This window comes from Homo sapiens, chromosome 8, assembly GCF_000001405.40.
Source record: "Homo sapiens chromosome 8, GRCh38.p14 Primary Assembly".
Classification (NCBI taxonomy): domain Eukaryota; kingdom Metazoa; phylum Chordata; class Mammalia; order Primates; family Hominidae; genus Homo; species Homo sapiens.
This window is the reverse complement of record NC_000008.11, coordinates 2285587-2305868: the sequence shown is the minus strand read 5'-3', so window position 1 is coordinate 2305868 and position 20282 is coordinate 2285587. Positions and strand designations below refer to the sequence as shown.

At 42.4% G+C, this 20282-nt stretch overlaps 2 annotated features.

The window, feature by feature from the left end:
- Positions 6584 to 7083: an enhancer, noted in NCBI's record as "H3K27ac hESC enhancer chr8:2244841-2245340 (GRCh37/hg19 assembly coordinates)". NCBI's record gives its function as "activates a minimal SCP1, AML or CMV promoter by ChIP-STARR-seq in naive H9 embryonic stem cells {active_cell/tissue: H9 hESC(naive)}" and the evidence as "EXISTENCE:reporter gene assay evidence [ECO:0000049][PMID:30033119]".
- Positions 19752 to 20282: an enhancer, noted in NCBI's record as "NANOG-H3K4me1 hESC enhancer chr8:2231642-2232172 (GRCh37/hg19 assembly coordinates)". NCBI's record gives its function as "activates a minimal SCP1, AML or CMV promoter by ChIP-STARR-seq in naive and primed H9 embryonic stem cells {active_cell/tissue: H9 hESC(naive and primed)}" and the evidence as "EXISTENCE:reporter gene assay evidence [ECO:0000049][PMID:30033119]".

Sequence of the window (20282 nt, the reverse complement as noted above, 5' to 3'; positions counted from 1 at the left end):
ACGTGCAGAGACACACATAGGCTCAAAGTAAAAGGATGGAGGAAGATCTACCAAGGAAATGGAAAACAAAAAAAGGCAGGGGTTGCAATCCTAGTCTCTGATAAAACAGACTTTAAGCCAACAAAGATCAAAAGAGACAAAGAAGGCCATTACATGATGGTAAAGGGATCAATTCAACAAGAAGAGCTAACTATCCTAAATATATATGCACCCAATACAGGAGCACCCAGATTCATAAAGCAAGTCCTGAGTGACCTACAAAGAGACTTAGACTCCCACACATTAATAATGGGAGACTTTAACACCCCACTGTCAACATTAGACAGATCGACGAGACAGAAAGTCAACAACAATACCCAGGAATTGAACTCAGCTCTGCACCAAGCAGACCTAATAGACATCTACAGAACTCTCTACCCCAAATCAACAGAATATACATTTTTTTCAGCACCACACCACACCTATTCCAAAATTGACCACATACTTGGAAGTAAAGCTCTCCTCAGCAAATGTAAAAGAACAGAAATTATAACAAACTATCTCTCAGACCACAGTGCAATGAAACTAGAACTCAGGATTAAGAATCTCACTCAAAACTGCTCAACTACATGGAAACTAAACAACCTGCTCCTGAATGACTACGGGGTACAAAACAAAATGAAGGCAGAAATAAAGATGTTCTTTGAAACCAACGAGAACAAAGACACAACATACCAGAATCTCTGGGACGCATTCAAAGCAGTGTGTAGAGGGAAATTTATAGCACTAAATGCCCACAAGAGAAAGCAGGAAAGATCCAAAATTGACACCCTAACATCACAATTAAAAGAACTAGAAAAGCAAGAGCAAACACATTCAAAAGCTAGCAGAAGTCAAGAAATAACTAAAATCAGAGCAGAACTGAAGGAAATACAGACACAAAAAACCTTTCAAAAAATTAATGAATCCAGGAGCTGGTTTTTTGAAAGGATCAACAAAATTGATAGACCACTAGCTAGACTAATAAAGAAAAAAAGAGAGAAGAATCAAATAGACGCAATAAAAAATGATAAAGGGGATATCACCACCGATCCCACAGAAATACAAACTACCATCAGAGAATACTACAAACACCTCTACGCAAATAAACTAGAAAATCTAGAAGAAATGGATACATTCCTCGACACATGCACTCTCCCAAGACTAAACCAGGAAGAAGTTGAATCTCCGAATAGACCAATAACAGGATCTGAAATTGTGGCAATAATCAATAGCTTACCAACCAAAAAGAGTCCAGGACCAAATGGATTCACAGCCGAATTCTACCAGAGGTACAAGGAGGAACTGGTACCATTCCTTCTGAAACTATTCCAATCAATAGAAAAAGAGGGAATCCTCCCTAACTCATTTTATGAGGCCAGCATCACCCTGATACCAAAGGCGGGCAGAGACACAACCAAAAAAGAGAATTTTAGACCAATATCCTTGATGAACATTGATGCAAAAATCCTCAATAAAATACTGGCACACCGAGTCCAGCAGCACATCAAAAAGCTTATCCACCATGATCAAGTGGGCTTCATCCCTGGGATGCAATGCTGGTTCAATATATGCAAATCAATAAATGTAATCCAGCATATAAACAGAACCAAAGACAAAAACCACATGATTATCTCAATAGATGCAGAAAAGGCCTTTGACAAAATTCAACAACCCTTCATTCTAAAAACTCTCAATAAATTAGGTATTCATGGGACATATCTCAAAATAATAAGAGCTACCTATGACAAACCCACAGACAATATCAAACTGAATGGGCAAAAACTGGAAGCATTCCCTTTGAAAACTGACACAAGACAGGGATGCCCTCTCTCACCACTCCTATTCAACATAGTGTTGGAAGTTCTGGCCAGGGCAATTAGGCAGGAGAAGGAAATAAAGGGTATTCAATTAGGAAAAGAGGAAGTCAAATTGTCCCTGTTTGCAGATGACATGATTGTATATCTAGAAAACCCCATTGTCTCAGCCCAAAATCTCCTAAAGCTGATAAGCAACTTCAGCAAAGTCTCAGGATACAAAATCAATGTACAAAAATCACAAGCATTCTTATACACCAACAAAAGACAAACACAGAGCCAAATCATGAGTGAACTCCCATTCACAATTGCTTCAAAGAGAAGAAAATACCTAGGAATCCAACTTACAAGGGATGTGAAGGACCTCTTCAAGGAGAACTACAAACCACTGCTCAAGGAAATAAAAGAGGATACAAACAAATGGAAGAACATTCCATGCTCATCGGTAGGAAGAATCAGTTTTGTGAAAATGGCCATACTGCCCAAGGTAATTTACAGATTCAATGCCATCCCCATCAAGCTACCAATGCCTTTCTTCCCAGAATTGGAAAAAACTACTTTAAAGTTCATATGGAACCAAAAAAGAGCCCGCATAGCCAAGTCAATCCTAAGCCAAAAGAACAAAGCTGGAGGCATCACACTACCTGACTTCAAACTATACTACAAGGCTACAGTAACCAAAACAGCATGGTACTGGTACCAAAACAGAGATATAGATCAATGGAACAGAACAGAGCCTTCAGAAATAACGCCGCATATCTACAACTATCTGATCTTTGACAAACCTGAGAAAAACAAGCAATGGGGAAAGGATTCCCTATTTAATAAATGGTGCTGGGAAAACTGGCTAGCCATATGTAGAAAGCTGAAACTGGATCCCTTCCTTACACCTTATACAAAAATCAATTCAAGATGGATTAAAGACTTAAACGTTAGACCTAAAACCATAAAAACCCTAGAAGAAAACCTAGGCATTACCATTCAGGACATAGGCATGGGCAAGGACTTCATGTCTAAAACACAAAAAGCAATGGCAACAAAAGCCACAATTGACAAATGGGATCTAATTAAACTAAGGAGCTTCTGCACAGCAAAAGAAACTACCATCAGAGTGAACAGGCAACCTACAAAATGGGAGAAAATTTTTGTAATCTACTCATCTGACAAAGGACTAATATTCAGAATCTACAATGAACTCAAACAAATTTACAAGAAAAAAACAAACAACTCCATCAAAAAGAGGGCGAAGGACATGAACAGACACTTCTCAAAAGAAGACATTTATGCAGCCAAAAATCACATGAAGAAATGCTCACCATCACTGGCCATCAGAGAAATGCAAATCAAAACCACAATGAGATACCATCTCACACCAGTTAGAATGGCCATCATTAAAAAGTCAGGAAACAACAGGTGCTGGAGAGGATGTGGAGAAAGAGGAACACTTTTACACTGTTGGTGGGACTGTAAACTAGTTCAACCATTGTGGAAGTCAGTGTGGCGATTCCTCAGGGATCTAGAACTAGAAATACCATTTGACCCAGCCACCCCATTACTGGGTATATACCCAAAGGACTATAAATCATGCTGCTATAAAGACACATGCACATGTATGTTTATTGCGGCATTATTCACAATAGCCAAGACTTGGAACCAATCCAAATGTCCAACAATGATAGACTGGATTAAGAAAATGTGGCACATATACACTATGGAATACTATGCAGCCATAAAAAATGATGAGTTCATGTGCTTTGTAGGGACATGGATGAAATTGGAAATCATCATTCTCAGTAAACTATTGCAAGAACAAAAAACCAAACACCGCATATTCTCACTCATAGGTGGGAATTGAACAATGAGAACACATGGACACAGGAAGGGGAACATCACACTCTGGGGACTGTTGTGGGGTCGGGGGAGAGAGGAGAGATAGCATTGGGAGATATACCTAATGCTAGATGACGAGTTAGTTGGTGCAGCGCACCGGCATGGCACACGTATACATATGTAACTAACCTGCACAATGTGCACATGTACCCTAAAACTTAAAGTATAATAATAATAAATTTAAAAAAAAGAAAGTCTTCTTGTACTAAGAGCTCTCTTTTATTAATTATATTAATAATTAATAAGTGAAATTATAGAATTATATATAATAAGTGAAAGCTGCTGAATCAATTGAGATAATCACATTTTCTCTTTAATCTGTTATTGAGCTGAATAACATTTAAATGTTTTCTACTACTCCTCCATCTTTGCAGTAGAGAACCAAACTGACTTGGAAATGTGCATATCTGTAAAATGATGTTGACTTCCCTTTGCTAACACTATGCTTTTGGTTTTGGAATTGCACATATCATTGAGATTGTCCTGCCATTTTCTTTTCTACTACTGTCCTGTGACTTTGGCATCGAGATTGCACTGCTCATTAAATTAGGTGAATAAAATGCCCCCTCCTTCTATTCTGTTTTGTTTTTCCACTTGTGTAAAATTGGAACTGTGATATCCTTTGGCTGTGTCCCCACCCAAATCTCATCTTGAATTGTATTCCCCATAAACCCCACATGTCATAGGAGGACGTGGTGGGAGGTAATTGAATCCTGGGGGCCGTTTCCCCCATGCTGTTCTCGTGATAGTGAGTGAGTTCTCAAGAGATCTGATGGTTTTATAAGCATCTGGCATTTCCCCTGCTGGCACTCCTTCTCTCTCCTGCCACCCTGTGAAGATGTGCCTTTCACCATGATTGTAAGTTTCCTGAGGCTTCCTCAGGCAGGTGGAACTGTGAGTCAGTTAAACCTCCTTTCTTTGTGAATTACCCAGTTTCGGGTATTTCTTTATAGCAATGTGAGAACAGACTCACACAAACTGTCTTTAGAATCTTGGCAGAAGTCATCCATGTAATTATCTGAGTGCTAGCACTCACCTGTAAACTTATCTGGGGCTGGAAAATCCCTGTGGCAATCTTTTAAACTACTAACTCAATTTCCTTGAGAAAATTATTCAGACCTCTACATTCTTAATTCACTTTTGGCAAAATATACTATTTAATAATTTTTCTACTTTTATAAGATTTGCATTTTATCTGAGATTTATAGAGTATTCCATTTTATCTTGGATTACTAAAAACTAACAAAATTTTTCATATTTTCTAATTTTGATATCTCATACAATTGCGATTATGCCAACATGTTATTCTCTAATATCACCAATTTTCCTTTCCCTTTCTCATCTCGATCAAAGTTGCCAAAATCATGCTCCTTTCGTCGGTCGTTTTAAAAACTTCTGGCTCTGTTAAGGCTTTGCTTTACCTCTGCTATTGATGAAGCTTTAAGGCCTTTGTCATTACTGTTGCCTTCTTCCAACTTTTATGAGGTTGGGTCTTGCTCTTTTTCTTACATCTGAAGGTGTGCACTTCACTCATTAACTTTCAACTTTTTTCTGTTCTCATATTTGTTTCTAATGCGTAAAATTCTCATATAAGCCCTGCTCTATTGGGCCTCTGAGTTTTGATGTGTTATTTACTTCTGTTGCCTTCTGGTGGCATCAGAGGGCACAGTGAACACGACCCACCCTCTTGACGTGAACATGTGATGTCCTACTGATCACACCCCAGAGTCCCCACTGCGCTTTTTACTTAACTTTTGTGTGGATCGCATAGGTTGTATTATGACCATTGGTCTATGCGTCTCAAAACTAGCGCGTGAATTTCTTGAAAACAGAATTGTGTTTCTCCTATATTTGTATTCAGAGGTCCTAGGCCAGCATTGTGCTGGCTCAAAATAGGCACTTAGGAAATGTTCCTGGAATATACATTTGCAACGTAAAATGGGTAAGACAAAGTGTGCATTGATGCAGGAGAAATAAGACCTGTTTGGTTACGAAGGCACAGAAATGTATATAAACCACTTCAAAATGTGTATTTATTAACTATATTTAACTTGAAAAGATGCACTCACTGAAGCATCCACTAGGATGAATGGAAATTATACCAGCCTTTAAATTCAGCCGTCAACCTGGTCCTTCTCACAGCAAAGTCAAAGGTCAGCACATAATGGTTGTGCATTATAATATTCTCAAGAGCAGTCCTCTCACAGGGATGCTGTTTGAATTAGCTAATTGATGATTGCCAAGGGCTTTGGCGAGGCAAGGCTCTGCATAACTGATAATTACTATTATTATCACAGGGACTAAGATGTTCTGCATTGCTCTGTGAACAAAGGGCCAAGAAATGAATTTGCTATAAGATATAATGTAGCTAACAAAAAAGAAGTGTGAAAAGATAGAACATACGACGTCTCAAGTAGCTGAGATTTGTTTAGGAAGTTGTTTCTGCTTTGTGTTCCTGATAAGGACATCAAAACAGGCAAAATAATGGACTTTTTAGATACCCATAAAAGCATCCCAAAAGATTGCTCATTTCCTTTGTGTTAAAAATATGCGACTTTGCACGCAGAGAAGAGTTCTCAAGATTGCCAGACACTGAGCACAAGTCGTCAGAAGTTTAGACAATAAAGGGACATCTGAAAGACACCTGAGACAAGACAGAGAAAAATATCCAGCTTTAAAGGTGTCATACCCAACGTGTGTATTTTCCTGCACCAATTTTTTAAAAAAATGCCAAACTGATTCTTTCCTTAAATAAATTTGGGACATTCTGACCAGGCACGGTGGCTCATACCTGTAATCTCAGCACTCTGGCAGTCTGAGGCAGGCAGATCGAAGCCAGGAGATCAAGACCAGCTTAGGTAACAAGACAAAATCCCATCTGTACAAAAAATACAAAAAATTAGCCGCGTGTGGTGGCACACACCTGTAGTCCCAGCTACTCAGGGGACTGAGGCAAAGGGTCACTTGAGCCCAGGAGGTTGAGGCTGCAGTGAGCCATGACGGTGCCACTGCCCTCCAGCCTGGGTGACAGAGCGAGACCATGTCTCAAAAAATAAAAGTAAAATAGTAAATTTGGGGCATTCTTTCTGTCCTCCTGGCAGACAGGGTTGGTTGGTTTGATTTGGTTTTATTTTTTCCCTGGGTCATCGGATCATGAGAACACACACGAGTCTTCAGCCTCAATGGGTGGCTCCATCCTGCCCACTGGAGAGGTCAGTTTCTCAGCGCAGCTCATTCCAGCTCACAGGCCTCACCGTCAGGCCTGCCAGGATCGCAGCAACCTGCCTGGAAGACGAGCTGATGAGCTACTGGCCGGGTTTCCAGTGATACCAAGTTGAGCCCTTTTGTCTGACACCTCTGTCTGAAGCAGGGAGAGAGTAGGAGGACGGAGACCAAAATGGGGAATCCAAGGATGGCACAATTTAAAACAAACACTGTGAGGCTACCACGCCCCGCCGTGCTGGGTTATGGATCAGAGGGTCTGAGAACTGCAGCTGGCATGGTGAGATTATTTTCCACGTGAGCTCCCGTGGAAGGAACTGAGCACTGTTCCTGGGGTTCCAGTGCCCTGTGCTGTGATGAGTCAGGGGAGCTCTCCCTCCTGCTCCAAGCTCCTGAGCTGCCCTCACTGAGGACCACTTTACCAGTGTTCTCCTGCAGTGTTTTCCTGGATCCTTTCGGCTTTTCCGGGCACTGACAGGGATAGGAATGGGAGAGAGAAGAGAGAAGAAACAAAATCCACAACAGAGCCTTCGTCAAATTCCATAATTACAGAGGCTTTGGGGATTTCCAAAAGATTATTGTTGGGGGAGTAACGGCTGATTCCGAGAGCCCAAGCCGAAGCTAATTCTACAGAGGTGTTCACAGCAATGTCGTTGGTCTGGTTGGTTCGAGAAAAGGCAAATAAAAAAGGCAACAGTTAATGATCTCGGCTACTAACAACATGGTAGCGTCGCTTTCCCACACCCTGAAGCTGAGGGACATTTTCTTCTTGGGGTAGCCAATTAGTAGCATTAATGGGACAGGAATCAGATTAATCATGGCACGAGCCACCCGCTAATGCATTCCACCCATTATTCTCAGCATTCACTCATCAAGCAGTCTCCAAGAGCCTCCAAGGAAATAATAAAACGGGTCGATCTGAATGCCTCTCATCTCCCTTCTTCATCTCATCTACCTCTGACCTGGTAGTTAAGGAGCCACAAAATGGACAGGCCAGGGGCTATAGAGGAATCTGAGGAGAAGGATCAGGATAATGGGCAAACTGGAGATGTGATTAATTACAGAATGCACTTTTACTTTCCCCGGGTGAATTAGCTATAAACCATAAGCCTTCTCCCTGCTGCCATGGCCTTCACCTATTTTATCCTCAAAAAGAGATAAGCAGAGAAAATTGCAGCTTTGCAAGTGACATTTGCCCCTTCCTTGGCACTAAGGATTGGCAGGTTGCAATAACACACTCCAGACAGGGCTCCTCAGGCTGTACCGTGCATGTGAGCGGCCAGGAGAACCGACAGAAATGCAGGTTCCGAGGCAGTGAGTTGGGGACGGGGCCAGTTGCCACATGTCTGTGGTCTTTTAGCTGCAGGACAAACCAGACTGAAAGTCCTGCAGCTTCCAGCCCATCCGTGCACACACCATGTCTGGAAAATATGTATGGAACGGAGAAATGGGCAGTCACTGGAAAGAGAGCCACTGGCGACTTGACTTCTCTGTGAGGAATCCTGTAGCCCAGCCCAAGACAATGAAGAGGTTCCTGATGAGAACGTGTGGCTCTATCTGCCTGGTCACTGCCGAGCTGACAATGAGGATGCCCATCCAGCACCCAGGGTGTGACGACACCACACTCGCGAAACACCCCAGAACTCCTTCTACATCCCTGGCAAAGGGCAGGGCTCACGTTCCAAAATGACTCTGGATCCAAGGGGGCTTCTGGTTCACCCCGATGCTGACTTGTTCCCTGGGTTCTCACAGCCTGAGTTACCTTCCGGAAGAGCTGGGTGCCCTAACTCACGCACATGGGGGCTGCCGGGGGCCTTCCCAGCCCTTTCATTCTTGTGGTTTCATGACCCAGAGACATCGGGGGTTCCCCATGCTCACTCACATGAAATAGCTACCATTCTGGGGTTTTGATTTTTTGGGGGTTTTTTTGTTTGTTTTTTGTTTTTTGTTTTGAGACGGAGTCTCGCACTGTCGCCCGGGCTGGAGTGTAAGGGCGCGATCTCGGCTCACTGCAACCTCCGCCTCCTGGCTTCAAGCGATTCTCCTGCCCCAGCCTCCCAAGTAGCTGGTACTACAGATGCCCACCACCACGCCCAGCTACTTTTTGTAATTTTAGTAGAGACGGGGTTTCACCATATTGCTCAAGCTGGTCTCGAACTCCTGACCTCAGGTGATCCGCCCACCTCGGCCTCCCAAAGTGCTGGGATTACAGGCATGAGCCACTGAGCCCGGCCTATACTTGGGTTTTAGATGGATTATTTTGTAGGAGAAAGGTGAAATTATTCTTAGTATTTTATCTACTATAGACAAACTATTATTTTTATGTCTTTTGCAGACCTAATGACTATAGTAAACTCTTTTAATAAGCTTCCTATTATGGAACATATATTTAACGAACAAATAGATTATTTAAATAAGTGCCAAATAGATATCTAAGCAAGATCATTCCATATGCAATAAATAAATACATAAATGAGACCCAGTATTAAAAATACGTTTAGCCATTTAAAGCTTTTAACTAGTATTTAAAATGACCCAGAATTCAAGTCCCTGTCTCTGATTTGGCTATTTTTATATATTTACATCTTTAGGCAAAATAACATTTTCTCCTGCATCGAAAATCACATGCAATGGACGATATTAATCAGGTTAATCCCACAGCACCGCAGGCCGAAGCGGAAACTCTATCACGCCTTTGAGACAGGCGCTCAACGCAGTGGATTACCATGTGTGTTTGTACGGTGCGTCCCCAGTGACAGCACCATCTCTTCGGCCTGAGGCTCTGTGACTCTCGGCCACACTTGTCACCTTTGAGGGAAGTGGGCTTCAGCCCTGACGGGTGGTGTTCGAGACCCCACGCTCCAGGGGCCCCATCCAGGCTGGCTGTGGCTGTGGGCGCCTTTCCTGGGGCGCCACGGTCCGTGTTGCCCTGAGCCGTCCGGGGTGACCGGCGACAGCCACTGCTCGGGAGTCCTGCCGTGGACTCGCTGCCCGTGGTCCCAACCAGCAGACCAGGGTGGAATGAGAGGACGGCGATCTCAGCCAGGGGCTGTGTTAGAGACCACAGAACCCTTCATTCTCCCTCAGGACCTTCCTGAAGCCCTGCTGCCTCTGTGACAAGACAGCCAATCGTCCTTCTTGGCTCACTCCCTCGGGGAATTCCTCTTTCAAGCCGAACCTGACTGTCTCCACCTGTGGAGGGGACACGGCCCGCACCCCCTGTCTCAGGTGTCCGGGGCTGCTGATTCCGGATCCTAAGACTAACGGCGAAAACAGCATCTGCTTCTCTGGCACCCCGAGCCATAAAACCACCCAAATATCTTAAGTAACAGCATTTTAGAAACTAATGAAATAAAGTGAGACTTGAGAAAAAAAAAAAAAAAGCTTATATGAGCTCTGAGAGAACTTGCTCTATCACTATTAGCACAGTGCCACCTAATGGAAACGTGACATAAATGTACAGCCTTGAAAATTTAGAAGATTACAAAACACCCTATCAAGTTATACAGAAGGCACTTTTCCTCCACGTGTGTACCCTTTTTCAAGAAAATAATGATCTGTATGTTTTAAATGATTATAATTTTAGTTGGACAAAAATATGCACAGGCCAGACATTCACAGAATTCTTCTAAGTCACCATGAAAAGACACTCAGAATTTTTATTTTTGTTTTGCTCTTTTGTAAAACACATAAAGATAGAACTTGACATTTTTCTTCATATTTTAAAAATACTGGGCTGGAAGCGGTGGCTCACACCTATAATCCCAGCACTTTCAGAGGCCAGGGTGGGTAGATCACCTGAGGTCAGGAGTTCGAGACCAGCCTGGCCAACATGGTGAAACCCTGTCTCTACTAAAAATACAAAAATTAGCCCGGCATGGTGGTGGGTACCTGCAATCCCAACTACTCAGGAGGCTGATGCCAGAGAATCGCTTGAACCCAGGAGGCAGGGGTCGCAGTGAACCGAGATCATGTCACTGCACTCCAGCCTGGGCGACAGACCAAAACTGTTTCTCAAAAAAAATAAAAAATAAAAATAAATACTATCAATGGGGCACTCTAGTATCTTAAAAACTTTGTTTTAAGAAATATCAAAATTAGGCTGGGCACGGTGGCTCAGGCCTGTAATCCCAGCACTTTGGGAGGCCAAGGAGGGTGGATCACAAGGTCAGGAGACTGAGACCATCCTGGCTAACACAGTGACACCCCATCTCTACCAAAAATACAAAAAATTCGCCAGGTGTGGTGGCAGGCACCTGTAGTCCCAGCTACTCGGGAAGCTGAGGCAGGAGAATGGCGTGAACCCGGGGAGCACAGCTTGCAGTGAACCGAGATCGCGCCACTGCACTCCAGCCTGGGCGACAAAGCAAGACACTGTCTCAAAAAAAAAAAAAAAAAAAAAAAAAAAATCACAATTAATTTAGCATAAAATGGCATAGTTTTAAACTGAGTTTTTATTAGAAGTAGATTTTCAAAGATGTTGCAAAAGATTTAGAATGAATTTAAGGAGATCTGTCTTTGCCCACGTTATATAAATGACGATTCTAGGTGAATGTTGTAAAGCTCAAGGTCATCTGTCACGAAATCTTTACCAGGTTTGACACAATGTCTGTCTTTAATCCATTTTAAATCTTCGCATGGTCTAGGTGACTCAGAATAAAATATACAACATTTTATTGCATATGGTGTTATTTGCAACTTTATGTCATTTCCTTTGCATTTCAGCAGAGATTTCCTGATTGCTTTTGATGTTTAAGTACCTGTGTGAACATAATTATGTGTTAAAATATCTCTGTACGATATGATCACTCTTTAAGAACAAGAACTCCTTTAATACACCTCAGGTTTTCCCAGGTATGAAAGATTCTATTAATCACTGGAAGAAGAGTCTCTGGCCAAGTGCACAGCCCCTCTCAGCTCAGCTTCATAAACAAGGCACATTCATGACAAACGTTCTACCTAAAGTGTCTCTATTTAGCCTTTCATGACAAATGTTCCATTCAAAGAATATTTTTCTACTTAAATATTAAATATGTAAATTAGAATATTAAATATTCTATTTAAAGAAATGTTCTATTTAAATGCTCTATTTAAATAGCACGTTCATGGCACATGTTCTGTTTAAAGTGTCTTTCTATTTAGCCTTTCTATTACTATAGTTAAAGAAAAAATATAAAAACATGAAATTCTACTTTGGTATCTAAACCTCTTAATCAACTTACTCAACGCACATCCACATAGCATCACCATGGGCCACCCTGTGCAGATGGGACGAACCCCAAAACATTGAACAATAGAAACACTGAAATTGCAACAGAAAAAAGGAATGATTACTTCAATTGTATCGTTGTGAAAAAAACTTCTGTAACAGCAAACGTAAAAGTTTCCTAGGCCAAGATAATCTGCCGGAAACTAAGCAGATGGTACCGAGCTGAATTACCTTGTAGTTACTTCTTCTGAGGCAGGTTGGAGCTCATCACAGTTAACTGAAAGCTCCCCACATAAAGTCAAAACATAAAAATGAGATGCACATTGTCGGTCAGTTGTAGCGGCCTTGCAGCCTCTGCCAACCTTTCATTAAGATGCTTTGAGGTTAAGAACTTCCTATTTCATGAACAATGGCATCCCGTGGCTGTTACATGACGCAGATAAAATGTGCAGAAAGATCATGAGGACAATATACACCATTAATTTGTGTGATGAGAACAGGAATAAGAAGTTCCTATAATACTAGAATGTTTCTGTAAAACACACGGTTTATGTTCTGAAAATTCTGCCTTTAATCTCAGTTTAGTATGGTCTTCTAGGAAATAGGGATCCTCATAAGAATTTTGCAGAATCCCATGAAGTTGAAAAATTAAATAAAAAATACACATTAATCATAGGAAAAGTTTCACATCTAGGAAAAATGTAAAAGGTAGTCCCAAGATGTTTTTTATTAATATAGCAAAAATTTAAAATATGCTGTAAGCTCAAGATCTAAATGCAGGAGGAGCACTATATTGAATAAACTGATAAGAAAGAGATTCTAATGTTCATTCCATTTGTTTATGTATTTATTTGTTTGTTTATTTTTGAGATGGAGTCTCCCTCTGTCACCCAGGCTGGAGTGCAGTGGTGCAATCTTGGCTCACTGCAACCTTTGCATCCTAGGCTCAAGCAATTCTCCTGCCTCAGCCTCCCAAGTAGCTGGGATTATAGGCACGTGCCACCACACCCAGCTAATTTTTGTATTTTTTGTAGGGACAGGGTTTTGCCACGTTGGCCAGTCTGGTCTCAAACTCCTGGCCTCAAGCCATCTGTCCACCTTGGCCTCTGAAAGTGCTGGGATTACAGGTGTGAGCCACCGTGCCTAGCCTCTAATGTTCATTTTAGAGAAATAAAATGTAACACCACAAAATTCAAAATCAAGTCTTAAGAGAGATGTTAAACTTTGGGGGATGGCAAGAGAAGGACATTTCCCGTTGACTCCTTTAGACCCTGGGCTGCAGACCTTGCCAAGAACAATCGGTCAGTTTCAACCTTGCTAGGCTGGTGCAGTTGTTTTTAAAGAGTCACAGAGGCCGTATCTCAACTCACGTTCAGCTGAAACATCTACCGTAGACAAAGCTGTTCAAAGGAGCCACTTGACCTTTTTCACAAAACAGGTCTGATTTTCCAAGTGAGACCTCGGAGGAGAAGGTGGTAACTGGCAGCCATGCGGTCCCACAGAAAGTACCTATAGAAGGGAGGCTGTCAACCATGAAGACTGGCCATCCATCGAGGGGCCCGGTGTCACTAAATATTACGGTAACACAGATAACAGGCTTGTGGAAAATCTCCAGAAACAAATGTTTTGGTTTCTCAGAAATAGTTTTAATAAAAATGCCCCAATTCTATAATTTAGCATGTCATTCATTGCTTTAAACAACAGACAGTTCAATTCTGTGTTTCCTCTAAAATAAAACACATGGAAACACATGGGGTGAAATTTGTGCTGTACTTGCGGGCACAGCAGGCCGACTTCTCCATGTGTTCAACACCACAGGGAATGTCTTCCTTTCCACTTTTATCTTTCTTGTCAGCACTAATTTATCTCTGCTGCCAGATTTCTCCCAAAATATGACTCGATTCCACTTCTAATCTCCCAAACCCCAACATTTAATCCCATTACTCTTTGAGTAAAATGTATTCTTTTCAACTGAATACTCAGTTACATTTTCATGAGATATTTTCTTGTGTTTTTAACAAGTGTTGCTAACAATTGTGTTGAAAAAAAAATCAGTGCCATATATACTTCAAAGTGAATTCTAATGGTTGCTTAGTTTTATGTGTTCAAATTTTTTAGATTCCCCAGAATTAGTGTTTGGTTTTAAAACAGAGTCCAGTGATAGGTCAGAAAAGAGAGACTTTCATGCAAAAATACAACAGACGTAGGAAATCTAACAATATATCTAAATTCTGACTCAATTCAGGCAATGCAGTTACATCAAGTGGTGACATAATCAGAGCTAGAGACGCAATGAGGAGTTCAGAGAAATGCCGAGCTCTCCAATCTGCTATCACGAGTAATCACTGAGAAAACAGAATGCTAGATTGAAAGATGCTGCAGCTCTGTGACCCTTTCAAAATTATCCAAAGACAGTAAATTAAAGAAGAAATTGCCTCCAGAATGATGGTAGCTCTCAAACAAAGAGTCAGGTGTGTTGGCAAAAGCCTGTGGAAACCAGGGATTCCACACTTTTCTCAGCAAACTCATGGTTGTCACCACCTCCTTGGCATCAGCCTCAGGACTTGGCTACAAAGAATGTCCAGGCAGACCTGGGAGAGTCCAAACCAGGGTTTATTTGTTTATTGTGACAAAATACACGAACACAGAATATACCGTTTTAATCACTGTAAGTGCACAATTCAGTGGCACTAAAGACATTGCTGTGCAACCATCACCAACATCCATCTACAGAACCTTTTCATTTTGCAAAACCAAACTCTTACCATTAAACAGTAACTCCCCGTTCTCCCCACCTCCTGCCACACGTCACTCCCATTCTGCTTCCTGTCTCTATAAATCTGATGACTTTAGGGACCTAATATAAGTGGGATCATACAGTAGTTGTCCATTTGTGACTGGCTTATTTGACTTAACACAATGTCTTCAAGGTTCTGCCATGTTGTAACATGGGTCAGAATTTCCTTTTTTTTTTTTATGAAGCTGAATAACATTCCCTTATGCTAGGGGTGGTGACTCATGCCTGTAATTTCAGTACTTTGGGAAGCTGAAGTGAGAGAGTCCCTTGAACTCAGGAGTTTAAGACCATCCTGGGCAACATAGTAAGATGCCAACTCTACAAAAAGCAAAAAAATTAGCTGGGCATGGTGGTACACACCTCATGTCCCAGATATTCAGGTTGAGCTGGGAGGGTTGGTTGAGCCCAGGAAGTCAAGGCTTCAGTGAGCCATGATGACACCCTTCACTCCAGCAACTGGGCAACAGGGTGAGACCCTGTGTTTAAAAAAAATTCATTGTATGCGTAGACTGTATTTCACTCATGCATTTACCCAACAGTGGACACTGGATTGCTTCCATGTTTTAGTTATTGTGAATAATGCTACTATGAACAAGCCTAAGTTTTTAAGATATTTGATACTTGGTCTGCATCTGTATACCACGTGATTATTGTAAGAATCTGGAAGCATGAAATCACATACACACACATTTATCCCAGAAATGCTTCCAATCAAACCCTTGAATCCTTGGGATTCTGAGAGGGAACAGGTAAAAGAAGAAAATATCTAATGTACATTGAAAGCTGGGTGTGATTGTCCGACAGGTTCTTCCTGCCCACCACACAGACAAATTCACTGAGACCCTGGTATTACAGTCAAGAAAGAGTAATTAATGCTAGGCAAGCCACTCAAGAGACGGGATTTATTACTGACATCAGCCTCCTTGAGGGCTCAGAGGCTAGGGTGTTTATGGATAATTTGGTGGCAAGGGGCTAGGAACTGGGTGCTGCTGACTGTTTAGGGATGCAGTCGTGAGGGGGTGGAGAGAGGGTCTCGTGGGCTGAGTCGGCCTCTGGGTGGGGGCCACAGGACTGGTTGAGTCGTGAGTCATGGATGTGGATGGGGTCCATTGGTTGCCAGAATGAAAAAGTCTGAAAAACATCTCCAAAGACAAATCTTAGGTCCTGCAACAGTGATGTTATCTATAGGAGCAACCGGAGAAGTCACAAATCTTGTGAGCTCTGGCCACATGACTCCTGAGCAGTAAGGGATTCTAGAAACTATGCCCACGTTTAGCAGAGCCCAGGCCCCTCCCATAATCCTGATCTTGTGGCCTTCCATTAGTTTCCGTCCCTGACCAAGGAGGGATCTGTTTTAGGGAGGGACTATGGCCATCCTTGTTTGCAAGTGAAATGGTAAACTACATTCCTCCCATAATTAGCTTGGCCTATGTCCGCAAATGAGCAAGGCCAGCCAGCCTGTGAGGCGGAAGCCAGGTGGAGTGGGACACACTAGGCTTCTCTTCACTGCCATCATCTTTGCAAAGGTGGTTTCATGAGTCGCAGTGAACACACTAAAAGCTATGGGGAGAATTAACTGCTTATGGTACACCTTCTCCACAATCTCACTGCAGTAGCACCAAGCTTTGTGTACCAAGACAGGAGGGTGGGTTTTTCACAGGCTGATCGGATGAATCCTGCGGCAGCGAGGGTCCAAAAAGGACATGCATCTCTCGTCTCAAGAAGTTTGCAATCTGGATGAGACAGGAATGGTGCAAATATTTCTGGATGAGGTGTAAATCGTGCCAGATATGATGGTGGGATGTGCAGTCTTGGGAGGACATCTGACTCAGAGAAGAAGGACTTCCTGGAGGAGGTGATGTTTTTGAGCTGGGTTCCAAAGGATGAGAAAGAGTTACCCAGAGAAAGAGTAAAGCAAATATTTCACATGGAAATGGAAAGTCCAGAGCTCTAACCATAAAACAGAGTGAAGTAGATTAGAGAACCTGCAAGTTAAATATGGCTAAGGAGAGAGAGCAAGGTGCGGACGGTGATGATGTTGAAGGAGACAGCAGGAAAACACAGGAGGTCCGCAGGGGTAGGGAGCCATATAGAGGAGATGGGCCTCCACGCTGGTGGCAGTGGGACCACTGGCAAGGACTGAATGAGATTTAAATTTAAAAATGTCCTTCTGTCTGCACTGTAGAGAATCCCAAAAGCTTGCAGGCCGGTAAGGAGGGCAGAGCTTAGGAGACCAGGGATGGAATCAAGGTCAGGGATAATGGAGGCCAGGCTGGCTGTACAGAGAAAAATGCACATTTGGAGCATTCTTGAGAATCCAAGTCCTCGCTGATGAGTTCATGTGGGAAAATGAAGGGGAGGGGGGCTTCAGGGGTCCTTTGGCTTGTGAATAGAGAAACTAGGCCCTTGGTGATGTCGTCTCTTAGACAGAGAGTACCAGGCAGAGACGAACACAAGATCAGAAAGGTGATAAAGTCTGCAGCTATCAGCCTTTCCATGGTGTACCCTGAAAGGACAGGAATATCCGCTTTGGGGATCGTAGGCAAAAATAGAACTGGGAGAGGGATTATTGGGATTAAATGTCCTCAGATTTATGGGACACGGATTAGTTGTCCACCAATAAAACAGGGGCCAGCGTTTAAGAGTAATGGTTCAGGTCTGGACCCCAGATTCTCCCCTTCCTGACCCACGTGGCTTGGTCCTTAGCGCTTCGCTCCTGGGCAGAGCTTATTTCCACGATCGGGGCTAAGCTAAAGACATTGTTCTCATCAGATTTAACTCCTGTAGGAGTTCTCACAGTCTCCCACATCAAGAAAAATAATGTGCGTCTATGGTGTCTCCCGACATGAGGTGATTTCTCATTTCAATTTTTAAAGTCATTCTTTCTGAAATGTTCTCATCAAATAGCTGTAGTTAAATATTAGACATTTTCTACTTTATTAAGTTATTTATTGTTCAATGCCATTTTCAATTATTCCAAGTTTTGTTTTTTAAGGGCTTCTCATTAAATTGAGGGACAGCTCCTGTAATTTGTCTATCTCCAGTTTAATAATCAAACCGAAAAGGTACAGGACTTTTTTTTTTTTTCCAGAGAGGTTTGAGGTTTGAGGATACTCATCATGAAATATGCATCATAGAAGAGCTTTCAAAGCAGTGGCCAATCTGTATGCAAAATCCCATGCTAAAACCCGTAACTGTCTAAGTCAGATACAAAGTAATTCAGGAAAAAAAAATAGGACGTTGCAAACCACAAAGATCTCAGGTGGCCTTATGGGGCTAATAAATCAGTTCTAAAAACGCACTCTGGCTGGACTCCTGCTTGGAGCTCTGGGTTGAAGACTCCAAGCATTCATTTTACCAACTATGAAAAAATTCAGTCCAGTTTTAAGTTAGAGAAGAGAAGAAAAAGAACGCATTGCTTTCAGATGCTTTTGGCTCAGCTATAATTCAAAACCAGCCTCGATACTGACACTTACCCTTCTGCTAGTAGAGCTGAGAGCTCAGTCTTCAAATCATCATTTTTTTGATACAAAAACCATAAAAATGGTCATTACTTATTGCAAATACCTACACCAATTCATGTTCCTATGGATGATTTTTGCCCGGTTTTAAAACCAAACTATACAACAAATTGTGTGTTATTAAGGTGAGCGCTTACTAACTCTCTTAGCTTGAAAATGGAAATGTCTCCTTGATCCAATTAAAGCTTCCACTAAATTTTGGAAACGCCAATCATAAGATTTGGGTCACCTCTGTAGCAGACACCCTCAAACTCGAGAAGATTTTAGGAACTACCTGTGTCTGGCTGGGCACAGTGGCTCATGCCTGTAATCCCAGCACTGTGGGAGGCCGAGGTGGGAGGATTGCTTGAGCCCAGGAGTTCAAGACCAGCCTGGGCAACATGGAGAACCCTCATCTCTATAAAATGAAAATAAAAATAAAAAGAACTACCTATGCAGAGGCTGCCCATCAAACCAATTGCACTGAGATTTCTCTGTGAGGGTCTCAGCATCTGTCCACATGTTTCTGAACCTCCTAGGGGTTCTTATTGTATTGAGAGTTGAGGATCACTGCTCTAGCAAGTGATATTTCTTTTCGTTAAAATTGAATACAGAGCCAATAATTTACTGAGAAATTGAAAACCAATGAATAAATAATTAAAATGACAATGATATAGGAAAGCTTTATGCTTTTTCACTTATCTAAATTCATGAAACTGTTTGGACATTGTATCTTTTGTTTTTTTTCTTTTTTGATTTTTGAGATGGACTTGTGCTCTTGTTGCTCAGGCTGGAGTGCAATGGTGAAATTTTGGCTCACTGCAACCTCCACCTTCTGGATTCAAGCAATTCTCCTGCCTCAGCCTCCCTAGTAGCTGGGATTACAGGCACCCACCAACACGCCCGAATAATTTTTGTATTTTTACTAGAGACAGGGTTTCACTATGTTGGCCAGGCTGGTCTCAAACTCCTGACCTCAGGTGATCCACCCACCTCGGCCTCCCAAAGTGGCCACCATGCCCGGCCTTTTTTTCTTTTTTTAATTAAGCCTGATCAGAAACTTTGACACCCCCCTCTTGGCTTCTACGCCAGTGACTGCAGTCTGTGGCCACAAGGAGATGAACTGTCACTTCCCCTCCTCCCCAACCGCCTCCTCAAGTGCACTCAAGCAGAGCTACTCCCGTTTGCCCAAATAATTTTTGATTCCCTCTACCTTATTAATACAATGTTCCTGATTCTCTGAATTGCAGATGGGCAGACAAAATGTACCCAGGAAAAGTGACACCCTCCTATAAGAAAACATGTGGTGGGTTATCTCTGAGCCCCTGCTGTTAACGTTCTACACCAAATGCCCTTTCTAATGCTGGGAGTGTCCCTCAGGGCGGCCGCACCCCTCACCTCACTTCTGAGGCAGGGTTCTGAACACCTGCTGTTAACTTTCTACACCAAATGCCCTTTCTGACCTCAGGGTAGCCGCACCCCTCACCTCACTTCTGAGGCAGTGTCAGCACTCAACACCTTCTGCTGATTGTGTCATTTTGAATAAGAAGAGAAACAAAAACAACAAACGTGTTTCTTCTTTGTGAACCCCGAAAAGAGCATGCAGGCTCTGAGGTGGGTCATTGATAAGACAGCAGGTCATACCTGAAATCAAACAACCCTTTAAAGACACAAAGAACTCCAGAAACTGCACTTCCAATCTTGATTAAAAAAAAGCCAAATTCTGTAAAATATTTGAAGAAGTTTATTCTGAGCCTAATCTAAGTGACCACAGCCTGTGACACAGCCTCAGGAGGTCCTGAGAACTGCTGTCCAAGGTGGCTGAGTTA